Source organism: Homo sapiens, chromosome 4, assembly GCF_000001405.40.
Source record: "Homo sapiens chromosome 4, GRCh38.p14 Primary Assembly".
NCBI lineage: Eukaryota > Metazoa > Chordata > Mammalia > Primates > Hominidae > Homo > Homo sapiens.
In genome coordinates this window covers 144,688,156-144,715,535 of record NC_000004.12, presented here as the reverse complement: position 1 = coordinate 144,715,535, position 27,380 = coordinate 144,688,156, and the positions used below count along the sequence as shown (strand labels likewise).

Sequence of the window (27,380 nt, the reverse complement as noted above, 5' to 3'; positions counted from 1 at the left end):
CAACAAGTAGAGGATAAGATTGCTGTATTTATTCTTCAGGGCAGAACAAAGCCTCTTGAAAAAGGAAGTGAGAATGAAACTTAACAGAACTAGATTGTACAGTACCTAGTTCATCTTCTCCAAATCCCAAGATGTGACCGGAAAAGTAGCCTCTACAGGACCCACTAGTGCCGAGACAGAGTGGTTTTTCTTGCCACTGCTTTGTCACAGGACTTTGCTGGAGAGTTAGGAAATTCCTACAACAGAAACATACCATAAAGCTACAATGAATACACACTTTTGTTTATTGATGACAATAAGATGTTTAAAATAAAATTCATAACAAACAATTGCTTTGCCATAGACCTGGCTTCTAAAGGGAAAAATAACATAGCCCATAACGTGTGTGAGTACTGTGAAATTCCCATATGCGGAGAAAGTACTTAAAGATAGTATTTTGTTTGGAGGGGGCACTAAAAGTACCTGAGTATGAGAAAAGCCCTCCCCTTCATCCAGAGAATGATACTTCCTCGCCAGGACTAGAATCCATGCTGTGCTATTAATCAGAGAGAGGAACAGGGGAAGAGCATGGGGTCAGTACATTTTTCTAGTTCCTTGTAGCGACCAAGAGTATCAGCTCTGCCATATGCCTGAATGCCAGTGACTTGGAAAACAAGATTCTTAATTTGGATTTCGTCACAGAGTTTCTTACAATTATCCACAATGTGACCTTGAAAATTGAGACTAAAATTTAATTTTGTATTATTCCTACTTATAGAGACAAATTATATTATCTCGCTTAAAGTCCTGAAAATTTGGCAAAACCAAAAATCTTGAGCCTTGCAATATAATTTTTAAAATATTTATACAGCAAGTAAAACAATAGTTTTCAAATTATTTATTGTCATGGTAAATTTATGTTGAGGATGAAGGGAAGAGCCTAAATAATATGAAAAGTCCATCTGAAGACTTCTGTGCCCTTAAAAATTATTTTATGAAATTTATCAAGCCTGTTGAGAGAGCATCTTTTTGGAAGTTCTTCAATTAAACCACTATATCTATGGAACTAAAAGTAAATAATATTTATGTGTATTCCCCATCTGATGCACAAAAAGAGACAATCATTTGAATATTTTGTGGCAGTTTGCCAAATGATTAATGGATATGTCATTTGGTATATCATACTGTTGTGGTATCAGGAAACCTACCCATTACGATCTCCAAACACGTAGCTTCCATACAATCTTTCTGACTGGCAGCCCCGGTATACAAATCCACCAACCAAAGGACCATTACTGAATGGCTTGAATTCTAAAAGTGATGGCTCACTTTCTGGAAAGAAACATAGCATTAGATCAAATGAAACATATTTTCATAAAGTAAAAGGAATGTACACCAAACAACAATTACTATAGTAATTTAACTCTGAAATGTGTTCTATGATACACCAAAGGGTTTCTTGCTAGAGCTATTTAATGAAAACAGTCTTTGCTAAATAGTATCAACATTAAAGGACATCCATGTACAGCTTAATGAAATCAGAATGCTCCGCAAACGCTTGCTGTTGTTGAATTTGCAAGACATACCAAGTTTTCAATGAAATTAGAATCTGGATATTTTGGGACTCATGATTATTTACTTTGAACCAAAATACTTAAAAAAAAAACATTTAAGGCTTTACATACTAAGTTTTGTGTAGAAATGCTTCTGCATATATTGAGTAAATTGAGACAGAGCTCTGTCAAAATATGTAAAATGTTTAAAAGCCTACACTTTAATGAAAATAAAAACATAGTACATAAAAGGTCTTTAAACATGCATTTATTCTATATGTGAAAATGTTGTAACTTAGTCAAGTAATATCTTCATTTAAAATATTTTAATGTTCTGTTTATAGAGTTGTGTGGATAACAAAGTCTATTTCAATAACTCCTGATTACATGTGTATAGTCTTGTGTCTCTATCTTTCTGTGCAGGCCATTACATACTTGGATATCTGCATGCTAATTGTAATGGAAAAGCTCTAAAGCTACTTGCAAATTAATCTGAAAATTACCTTTTATGTATTTAAGATCAAATAAGTCATTATCAACAGATTTTATCAAAAGCTTTTGTGAAAAGATAGTAATTTTTAACGACCTCTTACCCTCCCATGTGATTATGGTGTATATGAGACTACAAAAAAGTAGAAAAGATAAGAGAAATTTTAAATAATGAGCACACTGAGAGGTAGCATAATTGAATAATTAAGGTCACAAACTCTGGAGTTAGGCTGGTCAGATTCAAATCCAGACTCTGCCACTTTGTGTTGTGTGACAATTAATCTTTCTGTGCCTCAGTTTCCTCATTTGTACAATGTGGCCAATGATAGTGCCTATCACATAGAGTTGTTCTGTAAAGGAAATGAGTATAAAGTGCTTACTACAGGGTCTGGCATGTAGTAAGCACTGTAGATGTGTTTTAAAATAAATAAATGTAGTGCTGTTAATATTGTAACCAATTTTAGCTTAACCTCAATTAATGTGACTGTAGAATTTTGTTTAATCTACAAATGTAGCCAAAATTCCATCGAGCTAGTGACTCATTAGTTTTTTTTTTTTTTTCCAAATCACATTACTCTTTGGTTTGGCTTTTAAAAGATGCGCGTGCACACACACACACACACACACACCTGAAAAAAAAGTAAAATAACTGAATACCACATGAACTAACACAGCTGCTTCATTCCTGGTGTTAAATAAATATCTGTATTGAATGAGTAAATAGAAAAAGCAATCAATTTAATAATCTTAATCTACTGTGTTTCCTGAATCATAATAATGGTTGATATATTGCTTCCTTCAAAAGGAATAAATACTAAAATATTAAAAAATACTAAGTGTTTTGAACTTTATTATTATCCAACTTTATATTTTTACATGTTCTCTCTAAATATTCAAGTAATCATGTTATTAAAAATACTGCTTAAATGTCCCATTCCCATGACTTGTTTTTCAAGTTGATTACTTTGTTTTCTCTAAGATAAACATTTTTTAAAAAATTACATTCTTATTTGAATCACTTACAATTTTCCTAACTGCTGAGACAGGCATGTTGGATATTGAGAAATGTCTTACTTTTAACACTTGTTTTTTCTCTGTATATAAGATGTTAAGACAAGCTGCTCTCCCCTACTGAATAGAACTTATTCATCTTGATTCTCTGATGAACAAAATATAAGCTGCTAACTTTTGAAGGACGGTTAAATTTTTTGGACCTACTGAGAACCTTTCAATCCATGGTAATTAACCAGATGGAACCCTCAGGGCTTGTAAGAGTCACTGGAGCTTTAAAAAGTGAGCAATTTACTCCTGCATGATTGTTAGGCCAGTGTTTTTATGCTTTCCCAAATGCTCATTTTTCAGAAATCCCTTTCTCTTCAATTACTAAATATACTAAGACAAAACTTGAACTAAAGCAAAATCAGCAAATTATGCTCTACATACCATAATCTTTCCCCTTTATTATCTGTAGAATTCTGGCTGATGATCTGTTTTTTCCATTGGAGTCTGAACACAGTATCGTTAAATTGATGTTTATATCAGTGGGATGTCTATCCACAGCACATCTGCATAACAAGAGGGGATACACATTAATTCCTACCGTGATCTTTTCCAAGCTCAGACTGGAGATTCCTGACATAGGAAGGAGCCCTTTGTGGACTGGCAAGGATCCTATGGCAATTTAGTTTGGATCTTCTAGAAAGCACTGAAGGAAGTAGTCCGATGTGTTTGCTTACTTGGTTGAAGCTTAATCTCTGGAATATATTTCTTAATTTCTCTTATGATTTATAATTTCTTATGTTATAAATATGCACACTGTCTTAAAACAATTGTTAGTCTGTTCTTAAGGAATATCACATGTATAATACACTGGTAAAGTATTGTGAATAAGAATCGGTGTCACCATCCAGGAACAGAAAACCAAACACCGCCTGTTCTTACTCATAAGTGGGAGTTGAACAATGAGAACACATGGACACAGGGAGGGAAACATCACACACTGGGGCCTGTTGGGGGGCGGGGTGCAGGGGGACGAAGAGCCTTAGGACAAATACCTAACGCATACGGGCTTAAAACCTAGATGACGGGTTGATAGGTGCAGCAAACTACCATGGCACATGTAAACCTATGTAAGAAACCTGCAAGTTCAGCACATGTATCCCAGAACTTAAGGTAAAATAACATAAAAAAAACAACAGTGTTACCATCAACTCATCTCTGTGCCACACAAAACAGTACTAGTTATAACATTAATTTTGGGTTTCTTACATGAAATTGCTGCATTCTAAAACTTAGGCTGCTCTAACACAGGAAAACATGTGCTTTAATTCCAGGAATATAGTAAAGCTGGTCCCTACAAATATCGAGGTCTTTTACGTTGACTCTGTTTTCATGTTTTCCATCCCTAATCTGGGGGCCAGAGTATCTCTGTGACTTAAGCCACTGACAGGAAGCTCCATAAGGGGAGGACTTGCAACTTCATCACTATCTTCCTGTTATCTGGTTCAAAGCCAGGAATATAAGAGGGGTTCAAGGTTTGTGGAATGTTTCAATCACTGAGGGACTGGGTATGAGGAGCTTGGGTTGGGGGAAGAATGAAGTTATATAATACAATTTTGGAAGTTATCAAAAGTGTGGAAAACAGGCTTGCATTGTTTTTAGGTTTCTCTATCTTGGCACTGCTGACATTTTGGGCCAGGTAATTTTTTGTCTGGGGAGGCTGTGCTGCCAACTGTAGGGTGTTTAGCAGCATCTCTGGCCTCTACAGGCAAAATGCCAGTAGCATCACTCCCTCACCCCCATCACACTCTAATTGTGAAAACCAAAAATGTTCCCAGACATAGCCAAATGTCCCCTGGGGGTAAAATTATCCCATTGAGAATCACTGTTCTAGGCCAACAAAATATATTAATTACTTAAAAACAAAATGAAACCATTGGAGCTAATAAAGAAATTTAAAAAATAAAATAAAAAATTGAGAGTTGGTGCTGGTTCTTAAGAGACGTAAGAGTCATGTAGAAATTATAAAAGAACAAACAAAAAACAAAACATAAACTCTTGGCTCCCAATGATCTCATTCATGATAGGGAAACCATAAGCGTGACCTGCCAAAGATGGGTTAGTTGTTCTGTGGCAACAGTCCCTTTATTGTCCTCTCTAGTTCAATGATTCACAGAAGACAATGCCTGGCAGGGATCATGATACAGTCATGCTGTGACTTAAGGTGGAACTAAATCCATAGTGGAGAGAACATTTTCCTCTATTACCTTTCTTTGAAGATAGAGAAACTATGAGAAAAAGAGGTTTGACTTGTTTCCAACAAGAAACAGCAAATCTGGAAAGCAGGCCAGGTAGAGTTGCTGGGGGCTTGGAGCTATGGCTCTGGCTGAATACCAGGTCCACTAAGAACTGCTTGACCCTTGTAACCTTCAGTTTCTCATGTGAAAAAGGGCCCTGCCAGTGAAACTCTCTGGGTGATACTATAATGGTGGATACATGTCATTATCCATTTGTCTAAACCTACAGAATTCACAACACCAAGAGTGAACCCTAATGTAAACCATGGGCTCTGGGTGATTATGACGTGTCAATGTCAGTTCATCAACTATAACAAATGTTTCTCTATGGGGGATGATCATAATGCGAGAGACTATGCATGTGTGGAGGTACGGGTAATATAAAAATGTCTATACCTTTTTCTCAATTTTGCTGTGCATCTATCACTGTCCTTTAACTAGTCTATTAATAAAAGGGGAGTGGGAGAAGTGGGGCTGATGGTGAGCCTTGCTGAGAAGCAGAGAGGAGATAAAGTACACAAGATACTTAGTTCAGCACCCCACAGCAAGTGCTTAATAAAAGTTCCCTTTATTTTTAGCCAATAATTAATTTAGTTTTCTTTCTGCTTTATTAAATCGTCTTCTGCTTAGAATACTTTTGGAGGGAGGTGGAATATAAACACCAACTTTTCCTTCAGCCCTCTGCCACCAGAGGTGGGGAGGCTCCGCAGCACAGGCATCTTGCCACACATCTGGTCTGTAAAGCACCTCATCCCATGTTTTTGCATTGAGGTTCAGGACCCCCAGGAAGGTTGTGAGAAAGCTCCAGCGGGATTGTGGTGACTCAGGCTGCCTGACTTCAAAGTGTTGCTTTGTGGTGGTATCTGTGAGTTCTGAGCTCTAGGAATGGAATGTGACAGTTTCCTCCACATCCTGAACCCACCTTAAGTATTCCCTGTCTCACAGATTTTAAGATCTGCTGAGATGCCAAAAAGGAAATGAACTGTAGACTTGGGTTTGATGGAGGAGAGATGAAGGGCATGAGGGATTATAAAAATAAAAAGTTTGAGAAATATTCACCTTGCACATAGTGAACACTCAATAAACATTAAATGGTAATAATAACCTACTTAGTGAATAAATGGATGTGGCCAGATATCCCTGAGTATGAATAATAGACCATAGACTGGATGAAGCTTTCGTTACTGAAATTGCTGTATTATACTTCATAGCATTTTTACAAAATGTACCCCAAATTTCCCACCCTACATACTTTTTAGTTTTCCTTTGTTTTGGTTCATGGTAGTACCAACAGTTAATATGGAGTCCTTTAGTATTTGCAATGTTTTCAAAGTGAAATAAAAGTTAATATTTAGCTCAACTCCTTGCAAATTAACACTGCAGCATCATATTTAAGTGAAGCTATGATAACAAGAATTGCAATTCATTTAAAACCTACCAGGAGTCAGACACACTATTTGGTACTTTACTTACAGATTTTTATTTAATCATAGCAAGGCAGTTATTATCACCGCCATGTAATATATAAAGAACTTAAGACTTAGTGGGATTTAAGGAGACAAATCAAAAAGTTGATCTCTCTAAACTGTTCAGATTAAAGTCTTGGTCATTATACTAGTCCAATAGTGTTTATCTGATAATAACCTCTCCACATTTTAAGGTGAAATTTTCTCCATGAATTTGTCCTTTTCGTTGTCTAATCTGCCTTCTCAATCTGCTTCTCACAGTAATAGAAGACAGTGTGCTAAATACTCACTTGAGTAATGACCTGTTGTGACTTTAGAGGCATGGCCTTAGATACTACCTTTGGCTGCTCTGTGATGGTATATGCTCTATGCTATATTTTCCCAGTTCTCGGATCCCCGCCTGGCTTAAAAGCCAGTGAGAAGACAGACTTGTGTTCTCACCTGCCTGGATCGTGGAGCCCATGAGCAAACACTTCGGGGGGCTGGTTGGTGCTGTTGAAGTGTGGGTTGCTCCTTGGTATGGAATAAGGCACGTTGCACATGTCTGTGTCCACATCCAGCCGTAGCACTGAGCCTGTGAAATCACTGAGAAATTGGGGGACAGAGTATGTGTTTTACATTTTCATTATATATTTCACCTATATTAAATATGGTGAGGTTGCTCTATTGATGAAAAAATCATCCCCTTAGTTGAAATAAAATATTAAAGTGGCTGGATGCAGTGGCTCACGTCTGTAATCCCAGCACTTTGGGAAGCCAAGGTGAGAGGATTGTTTAATGCCAAGAGTTCAAGGCCAGCCTGGCAACATAGCGAGACTCCATCTCTACAAAAAATTTTAAAATGAGCCAGATGTGGTGGCATGCGGCCAGGCGGATCTCTTGAGCCCAGGGGTTTGAAGCCACAGTGAGCCATAATGGTGCTGCTACATGCTGGCCTGAGCAATAGAGTGAGACCTTGTCTGAATAAATAAAGGAATAATTAAATAAAATAAATTCCTTATTGTGGAAAATGAAACTGGGCCGTTCCAGACAAGCAACTGAACCAAGACACTGTGTGATGGTGGCTGAGGACTGTGGCATCAGTAGTACACTGCTTTTTTTTTTTTGCCTCTGTTCTCTTAATTTTTGTCAGCCTAAACCTATGTATTCTATATCTCCCAGGAAGGTTCGCTGGGCGGTGTTAGCCTATTACACAGTGTTGAGAGGCAGTATGGTTGTACAGGGCCACTGCTTCTCAGTGCTTTGTGGAGCAGAGGCAGCCCTGGAACAGAGAACTACACAACAGTAACTCTTTTCATGACAAACAAAAGATCACGTAGCATATTAGTGAATTCCTCTTCATTTCATAAATGCAGACACTGATGACAAAAGTTAAGTATTTAACCAAGGTGACCATTCAAAGATGGTTCTTAATTCACTGGTGCCCACCTTTTCTTCTGGCACTTAAACTATTTTAACCTTGAGAGGAACCCATCTGTGATCAGCCTTTTACCTTAACCCATCCATTTCTTCCATATCATCCAGTGTAATCATCCCATCACCAAGAATGATGTACAAAAAGCCGTCAGGGCCAAAGAGCAGTTGTCCTCCCAGATGCTTTCTGTGGAGTTCTGCAACTTCAAGAAAGACTCTGGCTGTTCTCAAATCAACTTGGTGTGGATTTTTTCTACATTGTGGGAAGAAAACAATACCATGACTGTTAAAAGATTTAAGATGAGTCCATCAGAAAGTGAATAGTATATAAATGAAAAAACAAACTCCTGGCACATAGTAAATAAGGAAACATATATTTGAAATGGAGCTAACAGAAATTGCTGGAAAATCACATTATTTTCCAAGTTTCAGAGGTAGCCTTTAAGTTGAGAGATAATTGAGGAAAAATGTCAAAACCATTGTTGTTCTCCATTTCTCTTAAAGACACATATGGAGTTTTCAGCAAGATGGAGGTAATGATTTAATTATTGCCACCTTATGGTTACTTATTTGCAACTTCTAAATAAAAAAACTTATGAAAAGATGATGAGAAAATAAGATGAGAAATTTCTATGCTTCGATGCCTTTTAGTGATACCTGGATACTGTGTATTCCACAACCCTAAGAATGTGGTCATGAGGCCCGATAGCCCACCGTTCTTGGTTGGTGGTATAGGACACATACAACTTTCCATTTTTCTTGTAATTGGGATGGAATGCGAGGCTTAGCAGTCCTCTTTCATCTCCTCCCTGCAGTCAAATGAAAAACACAAAGAATTGTAAAGTTAATTATGTTCTTTATTGTGTTTCAACTGGAACCCCAAAAGAGTCTCTTTCTTTCTTTTGGATAATCTTTGCCCAACCTCCTTTCTTTTCTTCCTTGCCTACTGCACAAAAAAGGATTATAAAACATTTCACTTTGTGGAACTCTTTAAGGGTTAGAACAAGACAATTGTCTTGTGTGGTTATCTATGTACAAGAGTCTTACACCACTTTTGTCAAGTGATTTGTGTATGTAATCTTGGGCCGCTAGGAGGACAAGTTTAAGTGCTGTGAAGAATTCTTTCCCGGGTTACTAGGTTGCTTGTAGTTCATAGAAGACAAATAAAAAGGTTCATAATCAACAGTCACTTCTAATCCAAGTCTCCAAAACCTAAAACACAGTGTGGGCTGCCAACTCCCACTGTCTTGGCAATATGTTTAGAAAACAGTTAAATTGCTTGTGTAATATGTAAACCTTTGCTTTACCCTGGAGGCATCTACATCAGTTGTCACAACGATGGTGGTCTGTTCATCATAGCTAGGTAATAGGCAGCCTTGCCTATCTATCTAGAAATGAGGCAGTTTTACATGAATCCCTTCGCTGCATAGGGTTTTTCTTTACAGAAGGATGAAGCAGCCAGAGGATGCCTAAAGGCCACGGCTGGGGAAGGAGTGGGAGAAATGCTAGAGGGGAAAGGGGACACTAGGAAATTAAAGCAAAATCCCAAACAACTTTCTTGTGTTATTATATGAATGTCAAGGATTGTATACATTAGGCATGCCAAATGCTATAACAATTAAAACATCTTCATGTTCTTAAATAGAAAGGCATTTTATCTTCATTTTCTGCTAATTCAACTTGTTGAAATTCAATATGGTCTTAGCCTTTGTTTTATCCCACAAATAGTCTAGGAATTTCTATAATGAAATCAAAGTATCTAAAATTATCTAGATCAGAGCCTTAAAGTTCACATACTAGTAAAGCCAGGAAGCACTTTCTCGGAGAAAAACATGGCATAGAAATTGAACGCTGCAACTGCTGATGGCACATCACCTTATTTATTCCATTAAACATCACGACATAGCGTATGGCAAAAAGCTATGAGAAGTTATTCCTTCTCAAGTGTTAGCAGAGAAAAAAAAATCTCTAATACTGCAACCTCTTCACAAGGTCATGTTCAGTCATGGAAGCACTCTCATGTTTTTGTCCCCCACACAATAGTATATGTTACTAGCAAAGCATAGAACTGTTTGTAGTTCTTATTTTACATGGAGTTCAGAATTGAAAGGTTTAGGCAGAAAAGTTTACTTTTAATAAACATCGATTTGTTTCCTGGCTTAGAGAAAACTGTTTTTAGGTATAGATCACCCAAAGTAGAATATCCAAACTTTCAGAACATACAAATATTAAAATGGCTGCAAATACACAGAACGACCAAGTCATTATTTAAATGTCAAAAAGTCAACTTTCCTCCACATCACAATATGCATAATTTTAATTTTAATCATAAAGGTAAAACTCTAATGACCGATATATGAATGACTCTCTGTTTTTCAGATTATCTTGTTCTGGTGATTTTAATATTGACTCGATGGTGCTGTTTTTCTGCTTAAATCTTCATTAAATAAAAATCTTTTGGCTTTCTTCTGAGACACTGGAAGCTAGGATATGTAAGTACAATTTGACTGTAGAGAAGCCACTGCACATTTGAACCTCCTTGACGGATTGTCTAACGAGGCCCGAGGGTGGGATTTCGTTTGTGATTAATTCCTCCCTCAAATATATTTCCCCCTAAAGCTGTGAGTGCAGGTTAAGTACTGCATGCCTGCTTCACAAATGTTTGTGTTCCACCATAAGCAGCTTTTGTTGAAAGTAGTTCTTTGTAGTTTTTAATCAAATCATCAGAAATACAATTTGAATTGGATAGCAACATGCTTCAGAACTGTGCTGGTTGCTTCTCAGGAATTAAGAATGTAGAATTAAGGCACTGTAGAAAGACAGATGGGAAAAGAGATTTAAACAAATCCACAAGTGATAGAAGACAATTGTTCACTTTAGAGATACCATCTATCACATAAATGACTTTGGGGGCATTTTTGACATTTACTAAAGTGCCAAATATGGAAACAGAATGAGACATGTGAATGACAGAGAAATAAATCAAAAAAGCAATTTAAAAAAAGTCAGTAATTCTGACATTTTCAGGTAATAGGATTTACAATTGATTAATCATTACATATGATCTCATTTTTGGGTCAACTTCCAGGTGCAAAGTAGTTTAGAAATTTGACTACTCTTAAGTCATTTCAGAGAAATACTCACTTTCATAACTACACTGATGAAAACAATTTAATGTATTATATAAATATCCTAGATTTTCTTGAATCTAGATTTTAAAATTATATAACAGGATTCCTAAATATTCAGAAATTAGAAAGGACAGATAGATATACTCCTGGTGTGCCACAGTGTGCCAGGAGATTAATGTATTGAGAGCTCACATTTCACTTGAATTAGACTTCAGAATTATGTTGTCTACTTAATTAAAATATATTACTGACAAATTATGATTTAACTCTCAAATGCAAACCTATCTCTAAGGTCTGGGTCATTTTTCAAGGTCTTATGAAGAAATATGTTGATTGGGCACTGAAGGGTTAATTTTAGACCAGGGTCAGTTAGAGGCCACACCATCAGAAACACCACCAGATATTTAAGGTTGCTTCAGCTGTAGTCTTCACCAGGACACCGTCCTAGCCCGAGAGCCTGGACGTTGGTGCCTGGAGCCGGGACTGGCCAGCAGACCAGACCTCCCAGCCTCCTGTACTTCCTTCTATTATCTTAGTCCCCTTTGTCCCAGCTCTGACTGTGTGTGTTCAAAGCCCCATTCTGTTGGTCTGATCCCCTAGCCCAAAGACTCCCTTCTCTTCACTCTATTTCCAAATCCGATAACCCAGCTTTAGAGGCTCAGTAGAAAAAAACAAAGCCCTGGTGCCAATGTTACTAACTGCTCTCCTTCTAACCCCTTCTCATCCTACCCCTTCATTATGTGTGGTTTTATGGCTCAGAGAATATGGAATCAAAATCATACACTCCTTCCAGAAATGTCAATTATTGAACTGAGTCTAGGGAGCATCTGGGGAGTTTTTATTTTATTCTTGAGCTTCTAGTGATTAGTTGAGCCAAGCTGGCTAAAAAGGGAGAAAAACATATTAATAGAATGGCAAATGGAAGAGTCGTGATTCAGGCAGTCTTGCCTTTCAAAAAGACACTGATTTCTAACATTATCCCTTTTTTTTTTTTGAGATGGAGTTTCATTCTTTTTGCCCAGGCTGGAGTGCAGTGGCGCAATCTCGGCTCACTGCAATCTCCGTCTCCTGGGTTCAAGTGATTCTCCTGCCTCAGCCTCCCGGGTACTTGGGATTACAGGCACTTGCACCATGCCCAGCTAATTTTGAATTTTAGCAGAGACAGGGTTTCACCATGTTGGCCAGGCTGGTCTTGAACTCCTGACCTCAGGTGATCCGCCCTCCTCGGCCTCCCAAAGTGCTGGGATTACAGGCGTGAGCCACTGTGCCTAGCCCTAACATTATACTTTTAAAAACTGTTAACCAATGTCCAAAATGTTTATTCTTACCCATGTGAAAAGCAGTGATTTGTCTAAATATTCACATTATAATTGTACTTCATTATTAGCACTGAGCACTTTGTATATTGTGCTTCTGGGAATGCACAGACAGCATTGCTAGAACCAAACTGAAAGCTAAAAGGGCAACAAGTAATTTACAAACAAGAATTTAGGATTTCCTCAGTTTGGTAATGCTTTAAAAAAAAAAAAACAACTTACTGACTTGAACCTCATCCAAGCTTCATAGGCTGCCACAAGACCCCCTCTTCCCCTTTGCTCAGCTCTTCAATGCTACATCAACTTCTGGACAGCCCTACTGGACAGCAAGCACAAATGACTGCTCAAATTTGGAGTGTTGAATGATTTGAAAATAATGTTCCCGCAATTTGGAACCTGTAGACTAAGTTGTTTCAGAGGAAATAATAAAACCCTCTTCAGGCGCTTTTAATAAGTGTTTAACTATCTGCCATTCTAGTTATCAGTCAGCTCTTAAAAGCAATTTCACAGGGTCCACAGAAAATAGACAACCCCAAAATGAAGAGTACTGATACTTTAATGTAAATACAAGATCAGACCTAGTGTTGCAGCTTTGGGATAAATTCTTCCCTGGTGAACAGATCCAAGTTCTAACCAATTAAGAATATTCCTCTTCTTTGAATAATTAAGTATCCATTTGAAAGAAGAGATAATCATAAAATGATTATAACAGAAAGTATTATTTTTTTCTTTTCTTTTTTTATACATGGTTTCACTCTATCACCCTGGCTGGAGTGCAGTGTCACAATCATGGCTCACTGCAGCCTTGAACTTCTGGGCTCAAGTGATCCTCTTGCCTTGGTTTCTGACAGTGTGGGTATTACAGGCATGAGCCACCACACTCAGCCCTATTTTTTCTTTTTTAACAGACATTATAGGACAACATCTTTCATTGTGACATTTAAAAGACAACATTCTCTTCATACTTTAATGTGGTTACAGTTAGTTTTTTTCTGGTTTCTGTTTTTGCTTTAAATTTGCCCTAATGTCCTTCAGGAAATACTGACTTGTACATTTTAGGAAACATAATTTTTCTTAGTGACCTTTTGGTAAGTGGCTGACTTCAAGTTCAGTCATCCACAACATGACCCTATGATATTATGAAAGCCATGAAACATAAACTAAATAATGTGACACTATGTTCAAGACATTAGTTGTTACTGCCAACTATTTCTTTTTTTAATTTTACACTTATTCCACAAATACTTATTGAATACCCATTATGTGTTGGATATAATGTGTTGGTGCTTAGGGATAAACAATCAATAAGAATAAATTCCTCCTCTCAATGAGTTTGTATATGGAAGCACATAACAAAGTATAGTTTTGAATTTTGAGTTGTTTCATTCCCATCATACTTGGAGATTTTTGAGGAGGATGAACAATGCTACACTGTTAGAAATGTGCATGGTCAAAAAACAAGTATTAAAGATAAGAAATAAATACTTTTGGTAACTTCTGACACAAAGATTAATTTATATATTGGCACCTGAGCTTTCTCCACTCTAAAACTTGCTAAAAAAAAAAAAAGAAAAAAACAGCTTAATTACATAAAAACTTACATGAAGAAGTAAGCGGAGTTTCTACAAACAGTAAGACCATCTGGTAATTTATTTTATGTACATGACACAAGCACACAGGTATGAATGAAGCTCTCTGGTAAAATTGTTGCTCTCTTAATGCTCAAGGAATTTTTAAGAATTAATATAAGAATAGAGTGGTGGTATTTTGAATTCCCTATAAGATATATACTTTTGCTATAAGGCAGGCTTTCACATTTCTTTTATTAACTGTCATTTTCTTGCCTATGTTTTGCTGATACACATCATGAAAGGAAAAAGAGGAAAAAGAGGACTTGGGACTAAAATGGGACCCTCTCATGCAAATCTATGCTTTCTCTTAGACTGGAACTATTTGCTGATCAGAAATGGCAAAACAGGTTTGTTTGAGAACTGTTAGTTCAAACACAGTACCAGATTGTATTCATTTTCTATTGCTGCTATGAAAATTTACCACAAACTTTGTGGCTTGAAATAACATAAATTTTTTATCTTAATTTGTAGATTAGAGTTCAACATGGGTCTCACAGGTTATAATAAATGTTGGCAGAGCTAAGTTTCTTTCTAGAGGTGCTAGAAGATAATCCATTTTCTTTCATTTTCCAATTATGGAAGCCATCTGCATTTCTCAGTTTGTGTCTTCTTTCTTCCATCTTCAAAGCCAGCAATGGTGGATTGAATCCTTCTCATATCACATCACTCTGACCTCCTTTGTCTTCCTCTTCCACTTTTAAGAACTTGTGATTACACTGAGCCCACCCAGATGATCCAGGATAATCTCCCTATGTGCTGTTTAGCAATCTTAATTCCATTGCAACCTTAATTCCCCTTTGCCATATAAGGTAACACATTCACAAGTTCTAGGGAAAGGACAAGGACATCATTTGGGGAGGGGCATTATTCTGCCTACCACATGAATATTTTAATCGGTTTCTGAAAAAGGATCCCAAGCATTTCTGACTTGTGTCTTCATGGCCATGCCCTCCTGTGAGCACTGAAAGAGGAGACCAGTGAAGTTCATATATAAGTTCACAAGGAGATACTTAAGGTACACTCTGTTACAACAAGCTCTTTCTCATAGCTGTCAGTATTGGAAGAATAACCAACATTCTTCAAAACGAAGTGAAACTATCCTTCAGAATTGAGCAGAAGGAGAGAGAAGACCATTTGATAAAATGTGGACATGTGAAACTTTCACGTATGAATTAAGTTCAGATCAAAACTCCCAAGTTAGTCAAACGAGATTCCAAGATACAGAGAAGGTAAAATTAAATATATATAAACCATTTCTACTAACTGGAGGACAATCTTTGCATTTTAAGTTGATTAAAACTGTGTTATTTTGCTGTGTGTATAAGCTGTGAAACACATTGCAGAGCACTGATTTCTTCACAACTCTTGGAAAAGATAAGAAGCATCGCTTTTCAATAGTTCCAAAAGTCTAAATTGGTCTCAGAACAGGAGTCAATCCCCTGAGGTCCCTGGGTTAACTTATGGGAAGGACTGCATGATTTGTTTCTGTGATATATTAAAAAAAAAAAAGTTTGTTCTTTGTCTCCAGTTCTTGGCACAAAGCCTCTAAAACTCTTGGAATTTCCTGAGTGATAGGAGTGCATTTTTTTTTCATTTGTAAGGAGCCGCTTTAATCACACCTGATTTTATACTACTAAGCTGACTTTGGTGGGCTTTTAGATAACTTCAAGATGGGGGCTTGCAGCCAGAGGAACCCACCATGTGATTAGAGAATTGGAACTTTCAGCCTACCCCACAACCCCAGGGAGCAAGAGAGGTTGGAGGTTGGGTTCAATCACCAATGGCCAGTAATTCAATCAATCATGTCTGTGTAATGAAACCTCCTTAAGACCCTAAACAATAGGGTTCACAGAGAGTGGCACACCCAGAGAGGGCAGGGGAGCTCTGTACAGCACCCCCTTCCAATATCTTGTTTTATGCCTCTCTTCCATTTGGCTGTTCCTGAGTCGTATCCTTCATAGTAAACCAGTAATAGTAAATAAAAGTGCTTTCCTGTGTTCTATGAGTCATTCTAGTGAATTACCAAGGCTGAAGGCGAATTATGAGAACCCCCAAATTTGTAGCCTGCTCGGCAGAAATGTGGTAGCATGGGCATCCCATTTGTGGTTGGTATTTGAAGTAGGAGCAGTCTTATGGGGCTGAGCCCTTAACCTGTGAGGTCTGAGCTAAGTCCAGATAGTTTCAGAATTGAATTGAACTAAATCAAATTGTTGGACGCACAATTGGTGTGGGAGGACTGGTGGGTGTGAGAGTAAACCTCTCATTTGGTGTCAGAAAATATCCCAGAAAGAACCTGAAAGGTTACTTAGCCCATTCTCTTTTCTAGGGAAATGGAGATCGTGATCAAGTCTATTTGAGAATACTTCTAATAATTTGGTAGTTTTCTTTTCGTTCATAAAATTCTTACTCTTGAACTTGACTTGTTTTTTCTACTAAACTTAAGTTTGGGAAAAGACATAAAATATCTTGTTTCATTTTGTAATCCACTCTTTTGGCTTTTCTGACCTGCACTATTCCCTGAGGATGAAACCAGCCACAATAAACGAAGGACGTATCAATTCTAATAGGAATTCTCCCTTTTCATTAAAATTTCCTCTACTTTTCCAGATTTGGTTTTCCTTTAAACTTAGTCCAATTAACGGAATGCTGATGCTCAACTTTTCTCTTCTCCTTAATCGTGTTTACTCACTGTTTCAGTCCTCCAAGAAGGTACAGTCATGAATAGCTTAACAATGGGGATACCTTCTGAGATGGTAGAGCCTACTACACATCTAGGCTATGTGGTATGGCCCGTTGCTCCTAGGCTGCAAAGCTGTGTAGCATGTTACTTTACTGACTATTGTAGGCAACTTAATACAATGGTCAGCATCTGTGCATGTAAACATAGAAAAGGTACTGTAAAAATATGGTGTTATAATCTTATGGGACCACCATTGTATATGTGGTCCGTTGTTGACTCAAATGTCTTTATGCAGTGCATAACTGCATATACAATTTTCAAATGCTGTTGGGACACAAGCTCATCTTCATCACACTCCATCACACCTGACAAAGAAATCTGTCCTGCTTCAGATAACATTGGAGAGCTGCTAGAAGATAACCAGCAATTCAGAATTTTAGGAAGTGTCTCATGGGGTATATAATCTCTGGTATGTAGCGATTGGTCCGTGTCAAATCTATGTTTAGGATTTTCAAGCATTTTATCTTTTGAAGGTAGCAGATGCAGACAAATTAGAAAAGTGCAAATGGAAGAATAAAAGAGATTCCACACGGAAATCATCTACCTGTAAGTCACAATAATTCTCTTTTCTACTCTCTTCAAAAAACAAAATAAATCAGTAATACTAGGTTTAAGTTACAGCCTACTCAGAGTGAGGATATTGGACGTATTGGAAGTGGCTATTTTCTAGAATTTCTAGTTTCATAGCTCCTTCTTATTCCATATATGAATGATCTTTTGACATTTCCATCTATGAGGAAAAATGTATATATACATACTCAGTTATATACTTATAACTATTAGAGTCACAATGTTATGTATATATGATTTATTTTATATAAAATTTATATTTGTCAAGTGGAATTTAATTTATTATGTTCATATTACTATTTCCTCCCCAGGCTTTTAAAGCATTTGAACTGTGGCATGTGATACATTACGGCATATTAGAGATTGGATTGACTTGTACCTTTTATCTTGCTCAGGCAGCAGTTGACAGCTGTGGAAACTTTAATATATGTGCCCAAGGAATCCAATATAATATCAGAGAATGACTTAAACACAAGGGACTATCTGGCTCAATACGCATCAGATGCTATAATATCTATTCCAAAGTTCCACTTTCTAAAATATCTTCTCAATGAGACAAAATGCTCTAATAAAATTAAACTGTGTGAAATATCTATTTGAAATAATAAAGTAATAAAACAATAAGCCTCCAAAAAGCATAAAAATCCCTTCTCAAAAGGAAAATCCTAGCAATAAACAATTTTTTAGAGAAAAAAATTATAGAAACATTGGTAACACTTGGAGAAAGCAAAGCTTTTATTCTGTGCACTGAGGCTAAATGAAAATAAATTAATGATGGTTTAACAAAACTATAAGAATATTCTTGGGAATAAAAATGAATAAAAATTACAATTAGAAAAAGCTTTGTAACCTCACAAAACTATTATGAACCATAGGCTTAAGACTTGTTGAACAAAAAATTTAAAAAAAATTCTAGACTGAACTGTAAAAGGGTAAAATATTAAGCTAACTACTTTGTTAGACACAACAAAATGTTAGATATGTAAATTAGGAGCAAGTCTCCAATAGACTGTAAGCTTCTTGAAGGCAGAGACCACATCGTGGTATTTCTGATGTCTTACATAGTACCTCATTGACAGTGGAGGTACTGACTCTACCTCCTTGTTATAGTACAAATAGGATGTACTGAGTTCTTACTGCGTGACAGAGACTGTGCTGAGTGATTTTCAAGCAATATTCTGTTTAAACTTTATAGCAACTCTAGAGTTTAATACTGTTTTATTATCTTTACTTTCCATGTAAGGAAACAAGAGGCATAGAGGAATTGAGTAACTTGCCCCAAATGCTTAAATAGAAGTAGCAAAGCAGAGATTGTGATTGGAAGACACACAATGGGAACTATTATGTTACAGTGCCCTACCAAGTACTTCCTAAATGAAGAAATGAACAAAAAAAGAAGAGACTGTATTCTCTTATCAGCACCCATTGTTCATGAACTGAGGCAGTTTTGAAACAGTCTTAAGTAACTTGGGTTTCTGAAGTTCTACAAGGGAATAAAATGAAGCTCATCCCTCAGTTACTTTAACTCATATATATTACTTTAAATTAAATGATTTAGTCATTTTAACTTATGTGGGATATACTGAAGTGTGTACCTCAATTATTTTAACACAAAGGTTAATTTAGGTTTTAAGGTAGTGTTGTGCCAGTAAATGGCCTGTTTGGGAAAAAAAAAAGAGGTGCAGATTTGTGTAAATTTATGTGGTGTAAATACACTCACTGAGGCAAAGGAAAACTTCTTGGTAAATATCTTAAATCTATCACATAAGGTTGCTCAGATAATCCAAGAAGATGATGAATGTAAAATTACTTAATGAGCTCTAAAGTGCTATTCAAATTGAAGATATAACTATTATAGTGCACAGAGAGGGAAGAACTCTTCTCACATTCAGTTGTTCTATAACATAAGAAGCTTCTCAAGTAGGGAATGTAATTTTGAAGTAGAGAATGTGAAGTCCTACATTTTGATCAGATGAGGAATGCGTGCACGTTATGTAGAAGAAGTATTAACTTGCTGCTTGCCATCCAAAGAACTTTTGGACTTCAGAAAATTGCAGGCATGGACATGCACATTTATACTTATATTTAGCACCAGGCTCACCACATACTTTTGATAAAGATTTGTGGATATCTTTTCAGGAGATTTACGTGGCATGTGTTACCAGTGGCTGGTTTATTAATGAATGATTTGTAAGGCTTGATGTAATCTAAATTTTTGTTCTAAAATTGAAACACCCATAACTTTGCTATTGTAGAAATATCGTTTTTTCATTAAAATATATAAAATTTATCCTCTAAAGTTAAACATAAAGAAATTTATTTAGTAGACAAATATAAGGGGTGAAAGAAATAGACCCCGACATTTGTGTGTTCTTCAGTAATACCGATGGCAAATTACAATATTTCCTCCCCTCCAAAAACAAACCCAATGTGAAAATGCACCACCAAGATTTATGATAGAAAAATGTGTATTTTTGATAGTAGCAATTAGCTGTGAAAATTACTTCAGAGCCCTATTGACTAATATGACACATATTTATAAGAACAAAAAAGATACCAAATTTAGATTTAAATTTGGATATTCAATTATAAACTAAGGACGAATATAAGATTATTCAAGGAGTGTATGAGAGCATGCATATCCATTAAAGACATACATATCCCCAAAGACTAGATGATGCCACAGAATAAAGGAAATACTATTTATGTTTGGAGAGGTTCAATTCTTTCTTCTCTCAGTGTCTCATGGATTTCACTCTTAGGGCCATTCTTAAATCATGAATAGTTAAAAAAAAATTAAACTGACAAATATCAAGCAAATCTTGTTAGAAAAGCAAGTATTTCCTTTGGAATAAGGAAGACAATTTAGAAAACCCATTAACTTTTTCAGACCCCCTTATAATTTATTTTACTTAATGGCTAAGAAATGTCTTTTTTAGAATGACTTGGTCTATAATAAAGACAAATGCATTTTCATATTTTATTAGTGATAATCTTACAAACATAAGAACCATTAACTTTTATAAAAACAAAAGTTAATTTTATGGAATTACTGGAATATTAGATTTTTATGTTGAAAACAAATGAAATAAAATGGACTTATTATTTCATTCACCATCTTTAAAGCTAAAATCTCTGAGGCATAAAGTCTTACCATTTGATTTTAAACATTAAACCCAGGAATATAAAGTAAGTTTTCTTGATAGTTTCATGTGATTTATACCTTTTTACTTTAATTTTTTTTTCTCCTGTCAGGAAATGGGAGATTCAGGGCCTTTTCAATAGAAGAAAGAAATCACAATATTAAAGATAAATGCTTAACTGTAGCAAAGGGTACAAAATTGTTTTTAATGAATTTGACCTCTTGCTTTTATGAAGTTTGGTTTTTACGATGTGTGGCTAATATGCTGGTCATGCAGCTAAAAGCATTATCTTCACGTCATTATATAGAAATATAACACTGGTATACTTGAGTTTCCTAGTCATGTTTCACTACTCTTAGCCATTATGTATTTCTATTGTTACTCTAAATAAGAACTCAAATTGACTTATATAAGAGAAAACATTAAGCAATTAAGTAAGATTATTGCTTTGAAAAGAAACCTTGAAAAAAAAAACCCCAATAGTTTAGACCACCAAGGAACACTAATAAATTTAAGGAAATATGAGGTTTCCTCCATGTGACTTCTCTTGAAGAGTTATGCAATAGATTGCTGGAACTTCAAGGTCATATAACAATTACGGTACTTTAAAAATTATTTTCTAAGTAGAGTTTGTATTTTCATGATTTATATGTCAATTAAACTTGCAATTTACCAAGTAGCAGAATCAAATTCTTTGAATCTTTGATATTTTTATTAAGTACTATTTTACAAAATGATCAAATGCAGAATTCTAACAACACAGAAACATTAAAACACTACAATATGAACAATCTAAACATTCATTTTTAATATGAAAAATTATTCTTATTCCAAAATATCATTAGCTACAAATCAACATTTAGCAAATAAACATTTGCTATGGCTCAGATATCTAAATTAAGAAAATCTTTTTGATATTTGATATCTTATATCTTTGTATTAATTCTGAATAAAAACTAATAATATATATTTCTGACCAAATGCATCTTTAGTATTAAATTATGTGACAATTTAAAATGTAAAATTTTGTAATTCCATGTTTTCTATAGGAAAGAAATTATGGTCTACTCCATTCAGATAGAATAAATGTGTGAACTATACATTATACATATCTAAAAAAGTTTAATCTGGATGAAGTTCAGATTAAAGATAGAAAAGTGATTATAAAATTAGAATAGGATTTATAAAGAAAGTCTAAAGGGAGGGCTTGAATTTCTTAAAGTCACAAAAGAAAAAACTCTGAGGAGTACAAATAACCTTATTTAAATACATGAGGATTTATTTTAAGGAGGACAGTGTCCAGCTGTTCACGTTTTCCATGGGAGTTTCTCCAATAGGATAGATTTCAATGAATAAAAGCTCTGTTCCTTATAATTTTTAATATAATGGAAAATTTAAATATCTATGATTAATACAATTTTGGATCAAAGGACAGAATTTGAGGGAACTTCTGATGTTAAAATTGCTTGAGACTGTGTTGTTAGTCAACTAAGGGAAGAGCCAAACAGTGAAAGACTAACCAGTGTTCTAGTATGTTCATAATTTGACCCAGGTAGCAGTTTGAAAAAAAAAACTGATGGAAAATTAAGGAGTCCCATTCCAATTCCCAGAATCACTATGCAGAGATTAGTTCCTGATTCTAAATTGTAGGGCAAATGAAGTGTTTATAGTGGTTCCACTTTCCTCACTGCCAGCACCCACTCTCTTCAACACCTATAACGTTATGAACATTTATCCTCACTCACTCCACAGCTCTTGCTCTCAGATTCCAGCACATCACTCAGTCATTAAGGGGCAGATGTGGTATGCCAGTTGCTTCCATGTCCTCATGTGTCAGATTCCTATTCATTCATAGCATGGTGTTTAAGAGTATGGGCTCAGGGATCCAGACTACCTTGCTTTGCAACTTGGCTCCTCTTGATGGCTTTCTAACTTTGGGAGAGTTACCTTAGCCTCTCTGTGTCTCGGTTTTACCACTTTCAAAATACACGCATTTCCTACCTGGTGAGTTGTTGCATGGAAAGATAGAAGGATGACCCCTGACACACTATTGGTGCTCAAGAAAATTTAGCCATTGTTAAAATATACCACAGCCTGGGCTATTGTATTCTAGCTGGGGAGAGACTTTACACAAGTAACGCTATACATAAATACGTATTTCAACTTTGGAGAGGGCTATAAAAGACAAGAATAGGGTGTTACGGGAAAGAATTCAGGGGGAATCTAATTCAGACTAGGGCGTTAGCAAAGACCTCTCTAAAGAGGGAAGACCTGTCTAAAAATTCAGGTTGAGACTTCAAGGATGAGAAGGAGCCAGAAAGGGAAGAAGGTTCCAGGTAAAGAAAGAACAGCATCTCCCAGAGAGATACTTTATCTGTAATGAGTATGATTCTTCGGGAAAAAGAGAAATGGAAGAGAAGAGTACAGAAATATGTGTACCTCCTATTCTTGCTGGTTGTGGAGAATTTTCGGTATCTGAGGGCACACGTAAATACGGTGGAGAGAATGTGGGCTCTATTACATGACAGTTGGGTTTGAATCTTCGCTTATGTGACTTCCAGGCTGTTTGACTTGGGGGAAATAATTTAACACCCCTGAGCTTCAGCTTTTTTTTTATTGTAAAGGCATGATAACTTCTACTTCACAAGGTATTTTCTTAAAAAATGAAAAATACATTAAATAAAAATTTAAAGTTACTAGTACCCAGATGGCACATATTTATTAGTTGTTCACTAATCAGCTCTTTTCTTCATCATGGTGGGGATGGGTGGGAGGAGCAATGAGCATATTGTTCCTGTACATGATGGTGCCAGCCTTGAAATGCATAAGGTCAACTCTAGCAAAAATGATAATTCAATGATTCTACCTGAGCACTTAGACTTTTTCCATTTTAATAGGAAAATTTTTTTTTTCTATTTTGGTAGTTTCAGGTGGAAAACTATAATTGGATATAGTGTTTGTTTTTTTCTCCCTTATTTGATAGAATGTGTGACAAGTGACTTTAGAGTGAGGGCTTTGGAGGAGGCATTGCTGATGGTACTTAGACTTTTCATTTGCAGCTTTTGAAGTAAAGCTACATGTTTTACTGGGTGGCTGGAGTTATTGAAATCAAATTTAAAAATTAATTTAAAAAGGCATCTCCTTCCTTATGTAAAAAAATCCTATACATAGACATTTAAGTATATAAATGGAGGCACTGTTTGTATTTATATGTACTATATGTGATTATTAAAAAAAGAAAATAGAAATACAAGCACATTAGCAAAAACTACATAGATATTTCAAGAATCATCAAATGGTTAAAAAAGCAAAACTCCTGAAGCAGCAATCCATCAGCCTAATTATGGACACAAATGTCAGCAACATCAACCAATTGCCTTGCTCTTCTCTTTCTTAAATATTGCCAGATGCAAAAATATTGTCTTTATGTCACACATATAAGCCTAGACAGCAGGAATCAGGGACTCAAATGTGAAATTGCCTATCAAAATTAGTATGCATGATATAATAAACCTTGAAGTTTGTTTATACTTATAAGCAAAATATAAGGCCATATTGATGTTTATATTAGAAATCCAGATATCTGGTGGTCTATATTTTATCACTGTGAAAACGATAAAGGAAGTTTTGTTTTTTTTCTATTGGAAAGTTGGCAATCTTTCAATTTTAATAAATGGTAGATATCAGAGATGCATGTAAGATTGTCTGGGAGCCCCTCAATATACCATGAAATATTATTTTGTGTAATATTACACAGCATTTCGAAACAGTCTTGAAGTAGGAATATGGCCTAAGTTAGAACTGCCCTTATTAATGCTGGAGTGACTTTGGCATCCCCTGCTGCTGAGCTGGTTAAAACACAGATAAAGCTGTTTTCTTTGAATTGCCTGATATAAATCTAAATGGAGGTTAAAAAAAAATCATGGACAGCATGAAGGACAGTTCATTTTTCTTCTTTGACTGTAAGAGTTTTTTGTTTCTGTTGGCCATGCTAATGATAAGACACTGGTCCATTCTTCACATAGATTTGTAACAAACAAATCTGGTCATTTTACTTTGCCTCTTCAAAATAACAACAAAGCAAAACTTTTTTACTCTTATCACCTATAAAATAGGCCCAAATAATTTATCAGGGGCCATGAGACACTTTACAATATGGTCTTAACCTCTCTTTCCAGTCTCCGCTCTGTCATTCCATCTCATGTTCGTGTCTTTCCAGCTATGGTCAACTCTGATGCTCTCTTGGCTTTCATATCCTGATGCATTTGCATTTGTTTGTTCCCTCTGCTTTGAAGATCGTTCCCATCTAGTTTCTATGGAATAACTTGTTGATCGTTTAAGACCAGCTCCAGCACTTCTGCAAAGTCCTCCTTGACTCCAGAGTTTAGCAAGCATGTCTTTTTCTTTTCATCCTAGTACTTTCCAGGTATTGCTAGGACACCATACTACCATCATATCACTTTGTGTTGATTATACCTACCAGTCTCCCTACCCCATACAGAAGAAATCTTAGATGGAAATCAAGTTTTATTATTCTTTGATTGCACCTCAGCACTTAGCTCAATGACTGATAACTCTAGGTATTCAAATATTCAGTGTGTGGGTTAATAGTAGACTCTAAGACCTATACCTCAATTTCATGAATTTCATCTATCTTTACACAATTATCTTCTCTTTCAAAACATACCAATATCAAATAAGTCATTTAAAATGGTTTACCCGCCTGTAATCCCAGTACTTTGGGAGGCCAAGGTGGATGGATCAGGTGAGGTCACGAGTTTGAGACCAGCCTGGCCAACATAGTGAAACCCTGTCTCTATAAAAATACAAAAATTAGCTGGGCGTGATGGTGCATGCCTGTAATCCCAGCTACTTGGGAGGCTGAGGCAGGAGAATTGCTTAAAGCCAGGAGGTGGAGGTTGCAGTGAGCTGAGATCACACCATTGCATTCCAGCCTGGGCGACAGGGCGAGACTCCGTCTCAAAAAAATAAAATAAAATAAAATAAAATAATTTACCTAGAAAAGATATTAGAGTAAGGCTTCAGTTAAAAACAGAATGTTAACAATTTCTATTTGATATTAGTAGAAAAAAGAAGCATCTTGCTAAAATGTATAATAAACAGTTATGTTAAACCTTCCTCTGATAGTAACAAATAATGGTCTATAAAATATTGGTCTAAAATTGTTTTTCAAGTTGTAGACTAATCCAAGCAGTGCTCCAGGCAAAAATCAAAAGTAATTATTTCCTGTTTTGAGTTTTTAAAAATGTTGTACTTTACCACCATGTTCTTTTTGATGATAAATATGTAAAAGAGAACTCATGGTAGCATAGAAGTCCTGGAATCACTTCCCAAGATTAATGTCACTAGAAAACATCAGGCAAAGTATTAAGCGGTAACACTAGACAATTTGTTTTTCTTTGTAACTACTTGTCTAGATCTTCAGAGCAAAAACACTAATAAAAGTCAGTCATCATTATGATGTCATTCTCATAATTTCCTTAGAAATAAACTAGCAAGTACAAAAAATATTTATAATGTACGACATCATCTATGTGCCTTTCCATTGCTCAAACTTTGGATTAGAGTTAGTGAGATTTCCTGTTTGTTATAAAGAACACACTCTGAATGAAATAAAATACATTAATAAAAGCTCTCTGAAATCAAACTGTCTTGTAAATCACATGTGTGCAGGTATAGTTTAATTGCTATAGATTGAAAGAATTGTATGACCTAATCCAGCAATTGATAGAAAGATTCTTTTTTTCTTTTTGCAAACCAAACCCTTGGGAAGATATTTATCTGTGACTGAAATGGTTTCAGTGTCTAGAACACGCTGTAAATGATATCTTCCTACTGGTATGGCATCGTCCCTAGATGACATTTATAACACACCAAGCTTGAAGAAATAAGCACTCCAATGACATTTTTGGTGCTCCCACTTTAAATTCATAAAATGTCTATGGCCTTCATCCAGACACAGGAGAATTGAGAAGTTTTGTGTATGAGAATGACTTCTCATCCCTTCCGTTCTTGCATATAACTTCTTAGATGATGGATTTCCTCATTTATCCAATCCTGCAACTGTTTTGTCTGGCAGAGTTAATTAACATCTACCAGTTTACATAGTTTCTTTGACATTTAACATGCTCCCCGTGACTTGTGTCTTTTAAAGGATAAAATAGACTGGGAAAAGGAACAAAAGAACCTCACGTTTATTTAAATACATTAGAAGGCATAACTCTTCCCCATAAGTTCTAATATTTAGGCTTCCAATTTATTTTTGCAGAAAAATTAAACTTCCCACTCATCCAAGATAGGAAAATCTTATCTTGGCACAGGTGTGCCTTTTCCCCAACACTTGCATAAATTATGCATTTTCACTCATTGGCTGCCTGGGACTTCAAAAAAAAAAAGACTCTCCAATTAATTCTATAGAAGCACCAGCACCGCTGGGACTCTTCTAGCAAGCCATGCTTAACTTCCTTTATAATTCACATTGCTACTCAAGGCCAAATCAAGCACAATTTTTTTTTTCCTGCTTCAACAACAAGCTATTCTGAAAGCGACTTGTGCTTGGGAACCAAGGCTGACTTGGGTGGGAACATGGTCTGTGTTTGACTTAGTGTTAGTTTATTATGCAATGTTCACAG

At 35.9% G+C, this 27,380-nt stretch overlaps 1 protein-coding gene and 1 long non-coding RNA gene across 4 annotated transcripts in view; one reads left to right on the top strand and one right to left on the bottom strand.

Annotated features, from left to right (window-relative positions):
- LOC124900791 (uncharacterized) overlaps positions 1-26,395 on the top strand; it is a 67,320-nt gene extending 40,925 nt beyond the window's left edge. The window contains exon 2 of the long non-coding RNA XR_007058289.1: positions 10,576-26,395. This is a non-coding gene — a long non-coding RNA (uncharacterized LOC124900791). The remainder of the gene's footprint in view (positions 1-10,575) is intronic.
- Positions 1-27,380, bottom strand: part of HHIP (hedgehog interacting protein) — a 99,116-nt gene that overhangs the window by 29,736 nt on the left and 42,000 nt on the right. For all 3 annotated transcript variants that reach the window (NM_022475.3, XM_005263178.6, XM_006714288.5), the window contains exons 5-10: positions 8,854-9,005; positions 8,276-8,449; positions 7,225-7,368; positions 3,465-3,586; positions 1,188-1,311; positions 106-236 (exon numbers count right to left, since the gene is read on the bottom strand). In NM_022475.3, coding sequence (NP_071920.1) covers positions 106-236; positions 1,188-1,311; positions 3,465-3,586; positions 7,225-7,368; positions 8,276-8,449; positions 8,854-9,005 — 847 coding nt within the window. The remainder of the gene's footprint in view (positions 1-105; positions 237-1,187; positions 1,312-3,464; positions 3,587-7,224; positions 7,369-8,275; positions 8,450-8,853; positions 9,006-27,380) is intronic.